Source organism: Homo sapiens, chromosome 1 (genome assembly GCF_000001405.40).
Source record: "Homo sapiens chromosome 1, GRCh38.p14 Primary Assembly".
NCBI classification, from domain to species: Eukaryota; Metazoa; Chordata; class Mammalia; order Primates; family Hominidae; genus Homo; species Homo sapiens.
The window spans coordinates 112,825,200-112,843,124 of NC_000001.11; the positions used below are offsets into that span (position 1 = coordinate 112,825,200).

The 17,925-nt window shown below is 44.7% G+C and overlaps 1 long non-coding RNA gene across 1 annotated transcript in view; it reads right to left on the reverse strand.

Annotated features, from left to right (window-relative positions):
* The window catches only part of LINC01356 (long intergenic non-protein coding RNA 1356), a 30,475-nt gene that overhangs the window by 5,031 nt on the left and 7,519 nt on the right, over positions 1–17,925 (reverse strand). Inside the window, exons 3-5 of the long non-coding RNA NR_103746.1 lie at positions 15,289–15,381; positions 3,278–3,312; positions 314–473 (exon numbers count right to left, since the gene is read on the reverse strand). This is a non-coding gene — a long non-coding RNA (long intergenic non-protein coding RNA 1356). The remainder of the gene's footprint in view (positions 1–313; positions 474–3,277; positions 3,313–15,288; positions 15,382–17,925) is intronic.

Here is a 17,925-nt window from a genome sequence, read left to right on the forward strand (position 1 = left end):
GCAAGGGAATGTGGGTGAATGACCAAGGCAGGCGTCCCTGCGGTGATCAGACACTGATGAAATGTGGGTGAATAATCAGGCAGGTATCCCCACGTGATTAAACATCAAAGGAAGACTGTCTTCCTGAGTCCGTGACTGGCACCGGAGTTTTGGGTCCATGGATAAAACATGTCTCCTTTGTCTCTACCAGAAAAGGAAAGGAACTGAAATTAAGAGAAGGGAGAGATTGAAAGATGGCACCAAGATTGAAAGGAGAAAGAGGTTGAGGGATAGTGAGAGAGGTTGGAGAAGAGAGTAAAGAGGGGCCGCTTACCCGATTTAAAATTGGTGAGATGTTCCTTGGGCTGGTTGGTCTGAGGAGCAGAGATCGTAGGTGGATCTTTCTCATGGAGCAAAGAGCAGGAGGACAGGGGATTGATCTCCCAAGGGAGGTCCCCTGATCCGAGTGATGGCACCAAATTTCATTCGCGTTGCTGTGAAGAGACCACCAAACAGGTTTTGTGTGAGCAACAAGGCTGCTTATTTCACCTGGGTGCAGGTGGGCTGAGTCCGAAAGGAGAGTCAGCAAAGGGAGATAGGGGTGGGGCCGTTTTATAGGATTTGGGTAGGTAGTGGGAAATTACAGTCAAAGGAGGTTGTTCTCTGGTAGGCAGGGGCGGGGGTCACAAGGTGCTCAGTGGGGGAGCTTTTGAGCCAGGATGAGCTAGGAGAAGGAATTTCACAAGGTAATGTCATCAGTTAAGGCAGGAACAGGCCATTTTCACTTCTTTTGTGATTCTTCAGTTACTTCAGGCCACCTGGATGCATACATGCAGGTCACAGGGGATATGATGGCTTGGGCTCAGAGGCCTGACACTAAACCATGGATCAGCTTTTCCCCTAACATCCTTTTTAAGTTCCAGAATCAATCCTAGAATACTGTTACTGAAAGAGGTCCCAATCCAGACCCCAAGAGAGTTCTTGGATCTCCTGAAAGACAGTAAGGGAGGAGACCATCCCTCATATTGTTTTATGCCCAATTTCTGCCTCCAAAGAAAGAAGTAAAAACTAAAAGGCAGAAATGAAATCCACAGGCAGACAGCCCGGTGCCGTGCCCTAGGCCTGGTAGTTAAAGATCGACCCCTGACTTAACCGGTTATCTTATCTACAGATTCCAGACATTGTATGGAAAAGCATTGTGAAAATCCCTGTCCTGTTCCATTCTGATTATCGGTGCTGCACCCCCAGTCACGTACCCACTGCTTGCTTGATTGATCACAACCCTCTCATGCAGACCCCCTTAGATGTGTAAGCCCTTAGAAGGGACAGGAATTGCTCTCTCAGGAAGTTCAACTTTTGAGAAGCAAGCCTGCTGAAGTTCCTGGCTGAATAAAGCTCTTTCCTTCTTTAACCTGGTGTCTGAGGAGTTTTGTCTGTGGCTTGTCCTGCTACATTTCTTGGTTCCCTGATGGGGAAGCAAGGTGATTGGCAGACGGTCGAGGCAGCCCCTTAGGTGACTTAGGCCTGTCTTGTGGAGCATCCCTACGGGGTACTCCGACCAGCCTGAGTGACGCAGATCCAAACAGCACTCCCGGGTAGGCAATTGCCCCAGTGGGATGCCTCGCCAGAGCAGCGTGTGGCAGGCCCCTGCAGAGGATCAACACAGTGGATGAACACCGGGAAGGAACTGGCACTTGGAGTCTGGACATCTGAAACTTGCTAAGACTGGTCTTTGGAACTTGTGCACTCCATTTGAGTGGAAGCGTGGCCTGATCACCCATGGCGTGCCTCTACCAGCACTTTGGTTTTTGTTTTTTACTTGACTTGGATTACTTGATACTTTGGTTTTGGTTTTGGCCTGGCTTGGATTTCCTGATACTCTGATTTTGGTTTTGATTCTGGTTTGGTGTAAACTGTAAAAGTGTGTGTGTGCCCTTTTTACTTGTTCTTTGTTTTGTGGGGTGCGAGTGGTGTGAGTGTGGTGTTTTGTCTCGAGGAAGCATGGATCAGGCACAAACTAAGCCCACCCCACTAGGAACTATGCTGAACAATTTCAAGAAAGGATTTAAGGGAGATTACAGTGTTACTATGACACCAGGAAAACTTAGAACTTTGTGTGAAATAGACTGGCCAGCATTAGAGGTGGGTTGGCCATCAGAAGGAAGCCTGGACAGGTCCTTTGTTTCAAAGGTATGGCACAAGGTAAGCCAGGGCACCCAGACCAGTTCCTGTACATAGACACTTGGTTACAGCTGGTTTTAGATGCCCCCCACAGTGGTTGAGAGAACAGCAGCATAAGCAGCTGGCAGAGGCAAGGAAAGACCAGCAGAGAGAGAGAAAGGAAAGAGACAGAGACATTAACCACTGAAAATTCCCTTAACCCAGCAGGTTTCCTAACGGGATCTAAATCTTAATTACCATACCAAGGTTGACCAGACCTAGTAGGAACTCCCTGTAGGATAGGACAATAGATGGTTCCTCCCAGGTAATTGAAGGAAAAAAAAAGAAAAAAGCCATCTATACCAATTATAAGTTAATTTGGACTAAACAAGGTCTTATTAATAGCAAAGAATAATTGAAATCCCAAACTTACAAGGTTTTCAACAAAAGTAAAGTTTGCTAAATGTAAACAGTGTAACATGTATTATACTAACTTCTAATCTTGTGTCCTTAGACAGTCTAGTCCACAGATATAAAGGAAGCTTGCTTTGGAAAAGAATGGTTATCGTCTTCAAAAAAAAGGGGGGAAAAAAGAAGGGGCAGAATTTATCTAAAAAAAAAAATGTTATATGGTAAATTCTTGTCCTAAAATAAATTAACTGGTTGTTTAAAGAAAGAAATGTTTGTAATAAGTCAGAAAGTTGAGGCATGTCGAAGAATTGTCTGCAAAAGTCATGAAAAAAAGTTATAAAAAAAGAATTTATGCAAGAAATGTTGTACAATTTAAAAGTAATTAGGCCTCCTGAATGTAAAACTATTGGAGAAAAAGTTTATGTGCAAGGTGTATAAGAAAAGTAAACTATACCTCTGGTAAAAGGATTAAAAGGAAGCATAAGGATGTGGATTTTTACCTACATTAAAAGGTTTAAAAAAATTTGCTTTGAAGGTTTAAGCAAGTTTTAAAATGTTAATTGTAAAGGAAATTCTGTGTGTAAACATATTGGCTAAAGTTAAAGGGGTATCATTTTTTTTCTGTGAACTGAACATTAAAAAAAAACACAACGGGTTTTTCTTAAAGTGCTAACCTGCTCTTTAACAAAAATTATAAAAGGTTAAAAAGAGTCTATAAAAATCTTACCTTATGGTCTGACATTAAAAATTGAATAAATATGTCTACAAAGAAAACAAAGTTTAACATTAATAACACACTCAAATAAAGGTGACATTTAGCTTATCTGGTATAAACATACAGGAAGCGTTGTCAAATATAAAATGGTGTTTAGCTTTCTTTGGTCTAAAAACAAATAAAAATAGGTGAAAACAAATAAAAATAGGTGCTAAAGGAAATTTCTCAGTAAAAAGGCACCAAGGACTATAAAGTCCACTGCTGATGTCCCCACATTTAAAACAAAAGGTCAATTTCTTAAAAATTATATACTTGGTTTAGCACATGTACCACCCCTAGAATTTCCAGTAAAACAGCACCAGCCTGAAGATCATGTTCTTACCAAAGGGTGGAAAGAAGGAAAACTCGAGTCAGCCTGGGAATGACCCTATCTTGTGCTGTTAACCACCAAGACTACTGTTCATACAGCGGAAAGGGGATGGACTCATCACACCTGAGTCAAGAAAGTGCCACCCCTCCAGAGTCATGGGCCAGAGTCCCAGGGGAAAACCCTACCAAACTAAAGCTAAGAAAAATTTAACTTCTTCATCTATTCTATTACTCTTTCTTCTTTCCTCTCTCTATTGCTGACCATCTAGTTATTAACATAACCAAGTCAATTTCATCTCAAACTATTGCATTTAATGCTTGCCTTGTTACACCCTGTGGGGACTTGCCAAGTCAAAGACAGCTCTCTACTTCAGAAAAGTACCTCTGTCCCTCCTGACTCTCCTCAGACTGGGCATTAATAAATTGGGACCATTTAATCCAGGGAGATTTCGATAAAGACCCCAGTGACAACCAGGAGTCTTGCCCCCCAATTTAGAGCTTTTATGCCGTAGTTGGTCCAACGTTCTGTGGACCACTAAACAGCAAGGATGGACTGCCCCAACCAGTTTTTGTAATTTCCTAAAACCATACATTCATTTTACTAGAGGATCATAGAAGTTAAAGACTTAAAATGAACTTTGGCAATTAAGACAGGATATCAAGATGCAAATGCCTGGTTGGAATGGATCAAATATTCTGTCCACACATTAAACAAAAGTGATTGTTATGCTTGTGCATGTGGCAGGCCAGAGGCCCTGATTGTCCGCTTTCCACTAAGGTGGTCCTCCAGTAGACCAGGCATGGGCTGCATGGTAGCTCTTTTCCAGGATTCTACAGCCTGGAGTAATAAGTCATGCCAAGCTCTCTCTGCTATATCCTGAAGTCCGGCACCCTGTGGGTCAGCCACCAAGGGCCATCCAGCTTCCCTCTCCCAAAACTAAGTTCGCTTCATGTCTCTCATGACAGGGAGGAAACTTAGTGTTCCTTGGAGACCTGAAGGGATGCAGTGAGCTTAAGAATTTTCAAGAGCTTATGTATCAATCAGCCCTTGTTCATCCCCAAGCGGATGTGTGGTGGTATTGTGGTGGACCTTTACTAGGCACTCTGCCAAATAACTGGAGTGGCACTTATGCTTTAGTCCAGTTGGCTATCCCTTTCACCCTGGCATTTCATCAACCAGAGGGAGGAAAAATAAGACATCATAAAGTGAGAGAAGCCCCTTATGGGTCTTTCTACTCTCACATCTATTAAGACTCAATTGGAGTCCCATGGGGAATACCAGAACAATTTAAAGCCCAAAATCAAATAGCTGCAGGATTTGAGTCAATATTTTGGTGAGTGACAGTTAATAAAAATGTAGATTAGATAAACTACATCTATTATAACCAACAGCGACGATATTTTCATGAGTTAAAAGAAAAACGCATGTCGGCCCCAGCCCTGGGGCTACCTGACCTGACAAAACCTTTTACACAATATGTATTAGAGAGAGAGGAAAAAAAATGGCGGTTAGAGTTTTGACCCAGACTGTGGGGCCCTGGCCGAGACCGGTGGCCTACATCTCTAAACAACTAGAAGGGGTTTCTAAGAGTTGGCCCCCATGTTTGAGGGCCTTGGCAGCAACACCCCTGCTAGCACAAGAAGTGGATAAGCTAACTCTTAGGCAAAACCTAAACATAAAGTCTCCCCCATGCTTTAATAAATACCAAAAGACATCATTGGCTAACGAATGCTAGACTAACTAGATACCAAAGCTTGCTCTGTGAAAATTCCCGCATAATCATTGAAGTTTGCAACACCCTGAACCCCGCCACCTTGCTCCCGGTATCAGAGAGCCCAGTTGAACATAACTGTGTAAAAGGTGTTGGACTCAGTTTATTTCTGCAGGCCCAACCTCCGAGACCATCCTTGAACATCAGTAGACTGGGAGCTGTATGTGGACAGGAGCAGCTTCGCCAACCCTCGCAAAGTGACTCTGAAGAAGACCACAAGCCCTGCTCCAGTCACACCCAGAAGCTGACTGGTCCACGCATGGCCGAAGCATGAGGAAACTCATCGCAGGACTCATTTTCCTTAAAATTTGGACTTGTACAGTAAGGACTTCGACTGGCCTTCCTCAGACTGAGCACTGTTCCCAGTATATACATCAAGTCACTGAGGTAGGACAAAAGGTTGCTATAGTCCCATTATTTTATGGTTATTATAAGTGTACGGGGACTCTAAAAGGAACTGATTTATATAATGCTATACAAGGTATGTAGCCCAGGAACTGACCAGCCTGATGTGTGCTATAATCCATCTGAGCTCCCTATGACTACCATTTTTAAAATAAGTTAAAGACTGGCAACTTCTGGGTTCTGAAAAACCTCAATTATTAGACAATACTGTATAGCAAGGGTGAGGACGGACTTCACCCTTCCTATGGGAAGACTCAGCTGCCTTGGGCAAAAACTGTATAATAGTACTACAAAAACAGCCACTTAGTGGAGTTCAAACCACACTGAAAAAAATCTGTTTAGTAAATTTCCAAAGTTGCAAACCATGTGGACCCACCTGGCATCCCACCGGGACTGGACAGCCCCCACTGGATTATACCGGATATGTGGGCATAGAGCCTATGCCAAGTTACCTGACCAATGGGCAGGTAGTTGTGTTATTGACACCATTAAACCATCCTTTTTCCTACTGCCCATAAAAACAGGTGAGCTCCTGGGCTTCCCTGTCTATGCTTCCCGAGAAAAAAAAAAGCATAGCTATAGGCAACTGGAAAGATGACAAGTGGCCCCCTGAAAGAATCATACAGTATCATGGACCTGCCACTTGGGCACAGGATGGCTTGTGGGGATACCAAACCTCCATTTATATGCTCAACCAAATCATACAGTTACAAACTGCCTTACAAATAATCACTAATAAAACTGGCAGAGCTCCAACTGTTTTAGCCTGGCAAGAAACCCAGAAGAGAAATGCTATTCATAAAAATAGACTAGCCCTAGACTACTTGCTAGCAGCTGAAGGAGGGGTCTGTGGAAAGTTTAACCTGACCAATTGCTGTCTGCACATAGATGACCAAGGGCAAGTAGTTGAAGATATAGTTAAAGATATAACAAAGCTGGCACATGTGCCTGTGCAGGTGTGGCATGGGTTTAATCCTAGGTCCATGTTTGGAAAATGGTTTCCAGCACTAGGAGGATTTAAAACTCCTATATAGGAATTATAATAGTAACAGGAACCTGCTTGTTGCTTCCCTGTGTGCTGCCTTTGCTCCTTCAAGTAATGAAAAGTTTTGTCACTACCTTAGTCCATCAAAATACTTCAGCACAATTGTACTATATGAATCACTATTAATCTATCTTGCAAGAAGACATGGGTAGTGAGGATGAAAGTGAAAACTCCCATTAATGAGTGAGGTTCTCAAAGCGGGGGAATAAGGGAGGAGACCACACCTCACATTGTCTTATGCCCAATTTCTGCCTCCAAAGAAAGGAGAAGTAAAAACTAAAAGGCAGAAACGAAATCCACAGGCAGACAGCCCGTTGCCGCACCCTGGGCCTGGTTAAAGATCGACCCCTGACCTAACCGGTTATGTTATCTATAGATTCCAGACATTGTATGGAAAAGCATTGTGAAAATCCCTGTCCTGTTCTGTTCCATTCTAATTATCGGTGCATGCAACCCCCAGTCCCGTACCCACTGCTTGCTCAATCAATCACAACCCTCTCACATGGACCTTCCCCCTTAAAGTTGTAAGCCCTTAAAAAGGACAGGAATTCCTCACTTGGGGAGCTCGGCTTTTGAGACACAAGTCTGCCAAAGTTCCCAGCTGAATAAAGCTCCTTCCTTCTTTAACCCAGTGTCTGAGGAGTTTTGTCTGCGGCTCATCCTGCTACAAAAGAATCTGGGGGTAGTCCACAGAGTATAGTGAAAGCAAGTTTATTAAGAAAGCAAAGGAATGAAAGAATGGCTACTCAATGGGCAGAGCAGGGAGTTCCCAGAAGCAAGAGGAGGAAGGTGCCCACCTTAGGTCCAATGCTTGTTTATATATGAAATAACAAAGCAAATAATCATGGGGGAGATGTGCTCTACTACGCAGGCTTTTGACAAAGGATTGTGTAACTACTTTGTATAACTACTGTCTTCCACAAGAACCTATATTATTATCTTTATTTATTAATTTTTGAGACGGAGTCTCCCTCTGTTGCCCAGACCGGACAGTGCAGTGACATGATCTTGGCCCACTGCAATCTGCAACTCCCAGGTTCAAGTGATTCTCCTGCCTCAGCCTCCCAAGAAGCCAGGATTACAGGCATGTGCCACCACGCCAGGCTAATTTTTGTACTTTTAGTGGAGACAGGGTTTCACCATGTTAGCCAGGCTGGTTTCAAACTCCTGACCTCAGGTGATGCACCCGCCTCGGCCTCCCAAAGTGTTGGGATTACAGGCATGAGCCACTGTGCCTGGCCTAATATGGCATTTCTTTTCTTTTTCTTTTTTGAGATGGAGTCTTGCTCTTGTCGCCCAGACTGGAGTGCAATGGCACGATCTTGGCTCACTGCAACCTCTGCCTCCGGGTTCATGCGATTTTCCTGCCTCAGCCTCCCGAGTAGCTGGGATTACAGGCACCCACCACCACGCCCGGCTAATTTTTGTATTTTTAATAGAGACAGGGTTTCGCCATGTTGGCCAGGCTGGTCTCGAACTCCTGAGAAGCTGCAGGTGTTAGGAACTTGTTTGTTCACTGTTACTTCTCTCCTATCCAGAAGTGAGGCATATAGAACTTGTTCCAAAAAATAGTTTGGATGAATGAATGAATAAAAGGTTAATCCTATATCTATTGCTTCAATCAGAAAACTTATTTCCTTATAATTTACTGTTGTGTCTTTCCTTACTAGAAGGTAAAATCTATGAAATACAGACAGCTGGGTTTTGCTCCTTGCTGAATCCTCAATGCCTAGAACAGTGCTTAGCACTGGCACATGCTGTCATAATATCCACTGAATGACTATGTGGAAAGGTAGGCTTTCTCTTTTGGCCAACATCAGCATCTTTTTTGTGACATCAATGTATTTCAGATGTTTAGCTCAGTAAGATAATGGTTGAGAATAACCACAATACTGTGAGTGGCTGACAGCTGAACACTCTGGCTCCCTGAGGTAAATACTCACTTGCAGCTGAATGGTGATCAGAAGGGAACCACAGGAATGCTGTCTCCAAGAGCACTGCCTGCAAGAAGGAGGCACTGGTGGCCGGCACAGGTGGCCTGTGGATGCTACACTTCACAGCTTTGGTCCAGCACCAGCAAAATAGTGAGGCAAGACCATTGTGTTCTTGAGTTCCGTGTTATACTCACCTCTCTTTCACCAGAATGCAACTCTTGGAGAAGCAGAAAAAGTAATGTGCTTGTAATAACCATTCACGTCTTTATAGGAGTCAAGTGTCTCTAGCTAGAACCCTTTTATTTCACATCTATTCACTTTTCTTCTTTTATTATTAGTGACAAGGTAACAATCATATTCACATCAAGGAAAACTAGAATATGGAAAAAAATCATCTCAAGTATGTTTAGAATTTTGTGTGTATTTCCATCGCCCTTTATTTCTGAAAGTATATTATATATACAGAATTCACCTAGTTTGTAGTTTGTGTTCTGCATTTTTTTTTCTTTTTTCTTTTTTTTTTTTTTTTTTTCAGATGGAGTCTCGCTCTGCCGCCCAGGCTGGAGAGCAGTGGTGTGATCTCGCTTCACTGCAACCTCCGCCTCCCAGGTTCAATCGATTCTCCTGCCTCAGCCTCTCGAGTAGCTGGGATTACAGGCACGTGCCACCATGCCCAGCTAATTTTTTGTATTTTTAGTAGAGACGGGGTTTCACCATGTTAGCCAGGATGGTCTCGATCTCCTAATATCATGATCCACCCATCTCGGCCTCCCAAAGTGCTGGGATTACAGGCGTGAGCCACCGTGCCTGGCAGATGTTCTGCTTTTTTCATTTAACATTGTTTTATGCTTACAAGTATCTTTCCAGCTGGGCATGGTGGCTCACACCTGTAATCCCAACACTTTGGGAGGCCAAGGCCGGCAGATCACCTGAGGTCAGGCATTTGAGACCAGCCTGGCCAACATGGCAAAACTCCGTCTCTATTAAAAATACAAAAATTAGCAGGGCATGGTGGTGCACACCTGTAATCCCAGCTACTTGAGAGGCTGAGGCAGGAGAATCGCTTGAACCCAGGAGGTGGAGGTTGCAGTGAGCTGAGATCGCACCACTCACTGCACCCCAGCCTGGATGACAGGGCGAGACTCTGTCTCAAAAAAAGAAAAAAAAAAGTATCTTTCCATGCAATTAGACTTCATAACCACTTATTTAAATGCACTGCCATGCATTTAAGGATTTGATTTTTTTTTTTTCTTTTTCTTTGAAACGGAGTTTCGCTCTTGCTGCCCAGGCTGGAGTGCAATGGTGCAATCTCAGCTCACCACAACCTTCACCTCCGGAGTTCAAGTGATTCTCCTGCCTTAGCCTCCCGAGTAGCTGGCATGCACCACCACGCCCGGCTAATTTTGTATTTTTAGTAGAGGCGGGGTTTCTCCATGTTGGTCAGGCTGGTCTTGAACCCCTGACCTCAGGTAATCCACCTGCCTCGACCTCCCAAGTCCTGGGATTACAGGTGTGAGCCACCGCACCTGGCCTATTTTTTATTTTTTTGAGACAGGGTCTCGCTCTGTCACCCAGGCTGGAGTGCAGTGGCACAATCTTGGCTCACTGAAGCCTCGATCTCCTGGGCTCAAGCTATCCTCCTGCCTTAGCCTCCCATGTAGTTGTGCCTATAGGTCTGTGCCACCTCACCCGACTAATTTTTGTATTTTTTGTAGAGATGGGGTTTTGCCACATTGCCCAGGCTGGTCTCAAACTCCTGGGCTCCCTTGGCCTCCGAAACTGCTGGGATTACAGGTGTGAGCCACTGCGCCTGACCTACGATTTTCAACTATATTATTCATTTCACTGTCAGATAAGCCCGAAAAAGTCACTCAAAGAGTTTGAAAGACAAAAACTCAAGGTACTTAATATCTTTAAGACCTTGTTAAATATCAGGTTTGAAAAACGAAAGTTCACAAAATTATACAGATGACAAGTACATGAAAAAATGATCAACATCATTAGTCATCAGGGAAATGTAAATTAAAACCACACTGCCAACTGACTAAAATGATAAAGTTAAAAAGACTGACAATATCAGGCCGGGCACAGTGGCTCATGCCTGTAATCCCAGGACTTTGGGAGGCCGAGCGGGTGGATCACCCAAGGTCCGGAGTTCATGACCAGCCTGACCAACATGGTGAAACCCCGTCTCTACTAAAAATACAAAAATCAGCTGGGCATGGTGGTGCGCGCCTGTAATCCCAGCTACTTGGGAGGCTGAGGCAGGAGAATCACATGAACCCGGGAGGTGGAGGTTGCAGTGAGCCGAGATCACGCCATTGCACTCCAGCCTGGGCAACAAACAGCGAAACTCCATCTAAAAAAAAAAAAAAAAAAAAAAATGACTGACAATATAAACTGCTGACAAGGATGCAGAATACCTAGAATTCTCACACATTGCTAATGGAATTACAAAATTATAGCCACTTAAAGAATAGTTTGGTAGTTTCATATAAAGTTAAACATGCATTTGCCATATGACCAGCAATCCCGATCCTAGCCATTTACACAAGAGAAATGAAACCATATGTCTATAAAAAGATCTCTATGTGAATGTTTATAGCAGCTTTATTCATGATAAACAAAAGATGAGATAACTCAAATGTTCATCAACAGGTGACTGGATATACAAATTACAATTCATCCATACAAAGGAATACAATTCAGTAATAAAAAGCAATGAACTGCTGATAAATGCAACCACACAGATGAATCCTAAAACATGATGCTATGTGAAAGCAGCCAGACACAGAGGGCTACTCTGAACTGTTTTTACTCACAACACTTCTGACAACCGGTTCTCCAGCTCTCCAAACACCAAGTGGGTGTCACTACAATTCAGTTCAGTTCTGCCACTAACGACCCAGAGTTCGTGTCAGACTGCAAAGCCTTAAAGGCTCAGTCCCACAAGACTACTTTCACTGTAGATGGTATTTTCAAGTACCAGGCTGCCACTTGTGCTTCTAAGGTCAACTGGCTATAAATTGGGGGTTCCTGTGACCCTGATCCAGTGATTGTGCTACTTGTCAAGTTCAATAATTTGCTAAAACAGCTCATAAAACTCAGAAAAACACTTTACATTTACTGGTGGGTTTGTTGTTGTTGTTGTTGTTGTTGTTGTTGTTGTTTGAGACAGAGTCTTGCCCTGTCTCCCAAGCCGGAGTGCAGTGGCATGATCACAGCTCACTGTAACCTTGAATGCCTGGGCTCAAGAGATCTTGCCTCAGCCCCCTCAGTAGGCTGGCTAATTTATTACAAACATTTTTTTGTAGAGAAGGGACATGTACTCGTTTATTATACAGCATACAACTCAGGAACAGCCAGATGAAGAGATGCATAGGGCAAGGTATGGGGAAGGAGCATCCGTGCTCTCTCTGGGCATACTACCCTCCTGGTACCTCGATGTGTTCACCAACCCAGAAGCTCTCCAATTCTTATTGTTCAGGGGTTGGTTTGTTTGTTCGTTTTTGAGACGGAGTCTTGTTCTGTTGCCCAGACTAGAATGCAGTGGTCCCCCCATCTTGGCTGATTGCAACTTCCACCTCCTGGGTTCAAGCAATTCTCCTGCCTCAGTCCCCTGAGCAGCTGGGATTACAGGCGTGGGCCAACATGCCTGGCTAATTTTTGTATTTTTAGTACAGATGGGGTTTCACCATGTTGGCCAGGCTGGTCTCAAACTCCTGGCGTCAAGTGACCTGCCTGCCTCGGCCTCCCAAGTGCTGGGATTACAGGTGTGAGCTACTGTACCCAGACTTTTCAGGGGTTTTTGTTTGTTTGCTTTTTGAGGCAGAGTTTCACTCTATTGCCCAGGCTGGAGTGCAGTGGCATGATTTCAGGTCACTGCAACCTCCGCCTCCCGGGTTCAAGTGGTTCTCCTGCCTCAGTCTCCCAAGCAGCTGGGACTACAGGCACGCACCACGATGCTGGGCTATTTTTTTATTTTTAGTAGAAACAGGGTTTCGTCATGTTAGCCAGGCTGGTCTCGAACTCCTGGGCTCAGGTGATCCGCCCGCCTCGCCCTCCCAAAGTGCTGGGATTACAGGCACTGCGCCTGGCCCCTGTTCAGGGGTTTTAATGGAGGTTTTATTACATGGGCAAAATTGATTAAAACATTGGCCTTGGTGATTGACCTCAACATCCAGCCCCTTTCCCCTCCCCAGGGTTCAGGAGGTGAAGCTGAACATTCCCATTCCACTCCTGGGTCTTTCTGGAAACCAGCCCCCTCTGCCTCCTGGGTTCAAGAGATTCTCCTGCCTCACCCTCCCAAGTAGCTGGGATTACAAGCGCCTGACACCACGTCCGGCTAATTTTTGTATTTTTAGTAGAGACGGGGTTTCGCCATGTTGGCCAGGATGTCTCAAATTCCTGACCTGAGGTGATTCACCTGCCTCAGCCTCCCAAAGTGCTGGGATTACAGGCATGAGCCACCACGCCTAGCCTTTTTTTTTTTTTTTTTTTTTTTTTTTTTTTTGTTGAGATGGAGTTTCACTCTTGTCTCCCAGGCTGGAGTGCAGTGGTGCAATCTCGGCTCACTGCACCCTCCGCTTCCTGGGTTCAAGCGATTCTCCTGCCTCAGTCTCCCGAGTAGCTGGGATTACAGGCACCCGCCACTGTGCCTGGCTAACTCTTGTATTTTTAGTAGAGATGAGGTTTCACTGTGTTGGCCAGGCTGGTCTCAAACTCCTTGACCTCAGGTGATCCACGCACTTCAGCCTCCCAAAGTGCTGGGATTACAGGTGTGAGCCACTGCGCCCAGCCAATTTTTTGTTTTTTTAATTGGCAAATAAAAATTGTATATATTGGCCAGGCGCAGTGGCTCACATTTATAATCCCAGCACTTTGGGAGGCCGAGGCAGGCGGATCACGAGGTCAGGAGTTTGAGACCAGCCTGGCCAACAAAGTGAACCCTGTCTCTACTAAAAATACAAAAATTAGCCAGGCATGGTGGCGCGTGCCTGTAGTCCCAGCTACTTGGGAGGCTGCAGCAGGAGAATCGCTTGAACCTGGGAGACGGAGGTTGCGGTGAGCCGAAATCATACCACTGCACTCCAGCCTGGGTGACAGAGTGAGACTCCATCTCAAAAATAAAAACAAAAAAAAACTGTACGTATTTATGGGGTATGTTTTGATATACGTATACATGGTGGAATGGCTAAATCAAGCTAATAAACATATGCATTACCTCACATACTTTTATTACTTTGGGGTGAGAACATTTATAATCTATTCTCTTGGCAATTCTCAAGTATATGTTTTTATTAACTATAGTCGCCATGTTATACAACAGATCACTTAAACTTATTCTTCCTAGCCGAAATGTATCCTGGCTGGGCGCGGTGGCTCACGCCTGTAATCCCAGCACTTTATGAGGCCGAGGCGGGTGGATCACGAGGTCAGGAGTTCAAGACCAGCCTGGCCAAGATGGTAAAACCCCATCTCTACTAAAACTACAAAAATTAGCCAGGTGTGGTGGCAGGTGCATGTAATCCCAGCTACTCAGGAGGCTGAGGCAGGAGAATCACTTGAACCCAGGTGGCAGAGGTTGCAGTGAGCTGAGATCACGCCACTGCACTCCAGAGCAACAGAGTGAGAATCCAACTCAAAAAAAAAAAAAAAATGAAATGTATCCTTTGACCAACATCTCCCCATTCTCCCCTTCTTCACCCTCAGTGCTTGATCATCACTATTCTCTATTTCTATGAGTTGTACTTTTGTAGATTCTACATATAAGTGAGATCATGTAGTATTTGTGTTTCTTTGCCTGGCTTATTTTACTTCACACAATGTCCTCCAGGTTCATCCACGTTGTCACAAATGACAGGATTTCCTTTTTTTTTTTTTTTTGAGGCACAGTCTCAGTCTGTCGCCCAGGCTGGAGTGCAGTGGGGTGATCTCAGCTTACTGCAACCTCCGCCTCCCAGGTTCACGCCATTCTCCTACCTCAGCTTCCCGAGTAGCTGGGATTGCAGGTGCCTGTCTATGCCACCATACCTGTCTAATTTTTGTATTTTTAGTAGAGATGGGGTTTCATCGTGTTAGCCAGGATGGTCTAGATCTCCTGACCTGGTGATCCACCCGCCTTGGCCTCCCAAAGTGCAGGATTTCCATTTTTTAAGGCAAAATAGTATTCCACTGTGTATACATATCACTAGATACGATTTTTGATCTGTTTTGTGCTGAATACTTCCATAAGCTTCTTGTGTCCTTACTTTAACATTCCTTCATCATTCATTCAGTGTTCAAATTATTGAAAATGCATTATTGAATGCTTTCTGTCCTTGACTTTTTTCTGGATTTTCTTCCTGTCATGCAGGCCAATTACTCCTTTCTATTTTGATTCAGTGACTCCATTTCTTCTGCCTCCTCTGTCTTAACAAAGGTTGGCAAGTGACCAAAAACATAACTTGACCTGACTTGAATAAAAAGAAAATGTAGGCCAGGTACAGTGGCTCATACCTGTAATCCCAGCACTTTAGGAGGCCAAAGCAGGAGAATCATTTGAGACCAGGAGTTCAAGACCAGCCTGGGCAACACAGTCAGATACTGCTTCTACAAAAAAAAAAAAAAATCAAAAAATTAGCCAGGTATGGTGGCATGCCTGCAGTGCCAGCTGCTCAGGAGGCTGAGATGGGAGGGTGGCTTAAGCTTAGGAAGTTGAGGTGGGAGGGTGGCTTGAGCTCAGGAAGTTGAGGTGGGAGGGTGGCTTGAGCTCAGGAAGTTGTGGCTGCAGTAAGCTGTGATCATGCCACAGCATTCCAGCCTGGGCAACAGAGTGAGACCTTGTCTCAAAAGGAAAAAGAAAATGCTTTTGGCTCATGTGACTGAGAAATCTAAAGTGGGGTTCTGGTTTTAGGCACAGTTGAATGCAAGAACCAAATAATATTGGTTCTACTTTCTTCTGTGTTGGTTCCGCTTTCAGACATGCCCTCAATTCACTGGTGCAAGAATTGCTAGTAACTTCAACTTTACACACTCTCCTATAACAATTCTAGCTTCTTTCCAGGCAACAGAATTCCAAGAATGAACATGCTGGGAATATAATTAGCTTTGAGTAAGTACTTGGTTCACTCAAGGCTAATCACTGTGTAAGCTTTGATTGGCGGGATCTAATTTGCATGCTTACTCCTGAAGCCTGGGGTCTAGTGGATAGAATGTAAAGCCAACGTTTTAAAGTGCTACAAAGGGTCTACATAATTTGCCCTGACTTCATCTCCTACATTTATCCCTCCTGGATCATACTATTCCAACTACAATGGCCTTCTTACTATTGTTAGAGGATGTCAAGTGTGTTCTTTAGGGTTTCTCAACCCTAAAGGAGTTAGGTGTGCCTGGAGTGTTTGTTTACTCAGGTATCACTTCAAATCAAATGTTTACATTATCAGGGAGGCTTTTCAGGGCCATCCTGGATCAAATGTCAACCTCTGACTTCGCACTCCTTACCTTGCTTTATCTTTCTCCCTAGCGCCTATCTAAAAGATTATCTAAATAAGAGTAAACACTCATATAGTGCTTTCTATGAGGCAGGAATTAGATTAAGCACTTTAGTTGATTAACGAATTTAATACTTTCAACAACCGTATAAAAAAAGTACTATTATTTTTTTTAAGAGTAGGGGAGGCTGGGCGCGGTGGCTCACGCCTGTAATCTCAGCACTTTGGGAGGCTGAGGCGGGCAGATCATAAGGTCAGGAGTTTGAGACCAGCCTGGCCAACATGGTAAAACCCTGTCTCTACTAAAACTACAAAAATTAGCTGGGCGTGGTGGCAGGCGCCTGTAATCCCAGCTACTCGGGAGGCTGAGGCAGGAGAATCGCTTGAACCCAGGAGGCGGAGGTTGCAGTGAGCTGAGATCACGCCACTGCACTCCAGCCTGGGGGAGAGGACGAGACGTCGTCTCAAAAAAAAAAAAAAAAGGGGTAGGGGAAATTGAGGAACAGAAAGGCTAAGCAGCTTGCTCAGGATGTGGTGGAGCAGAAATTCAAACCTAATCAGAATGTCTCCCAAGTCTGTGCTCTTTAGCACTAGGCTATGTTTCCTCTTATTCTCAGTCTCCCTCCACAAAAAAAAATATGGTGCATTAAAGGAGGAACTTTTTTTTTTTGAGATGGAGTTTCGCTCTTGTTGCCTAAGCTGGAGTACAACGGTGCGAACTCAGCTCACTGCAACCTCTGCCTCAGCCCCCCGAGTAGCTGGGATTACAGGTGTGTGCCACCATTCCAGGCTAATTTTTTGTATTTTTAGTAGAAACGGGTTTTCACCATGTTAGCTAGGCTGGTCTTGAACTCCTGACCTCAGGTGATCCACCTGCCTCAGCCTCCCAAAGTGCTGGGATTACAGGCGTGAACCACTGTGCCTGGCCTAAAGCAGAAACCTTTTTTTTTTGTTTGTTTGAGACGGAGTCTCTGTTGCCCAGGCTGGAGTGCAGTGGCACAATCTCGGCTCACTGCAAGCTCTGCCTCCCGGTTTCACACCATTCTCCTGCCTCAGCCTCCTAGGTAGCTGGGACTACAGGTGCCCGCCACCACACCTGGCTTATTTTTTATATTTTTAGTAGAGATGGGGTTTCACCGTGTTAGCCAGGATGGTCTCGATCTCCTGACCTCGTGATCTGCCCACCTCAGCTTCCCAAAGTGCTGGGATTACAGGCATGAGTCACCGTGTCCGGCCCTTTTTTTTTTTCCCCCCAGCACTTAGGAAGGCTGAGGTGGGTAAATCACCTGAGGTCAGGAGTTTGAGACCAGCCTAGCCAACATGGGGAAACCCCGTCTCTACTAAAAATACAAAAATTAGCCGGGCGTGGTGGCGCATGTCTGTAGTCCCAGCTACTCAGGAAGCTGAGGCAGGAGAATCACTTGAACCCAGGAGGTGGAGATTGCAGTGAGCCCAGATCGTGCCATTGCACCCCAGCCTGGTGACAGAGTGAGACTCCGTCTCAAAACAAAAACAAAAACATGCATCTCACACATGACCTTCTAAATCAATACTCTACACCCAGATCACATCTGTTTCAGTGGCATCATTACCATTTATGTGATGATTCGATCACCAGCTCAAATCACTGGCCAAACAAGAAGCTGGGAGCCATCCTTCTCTC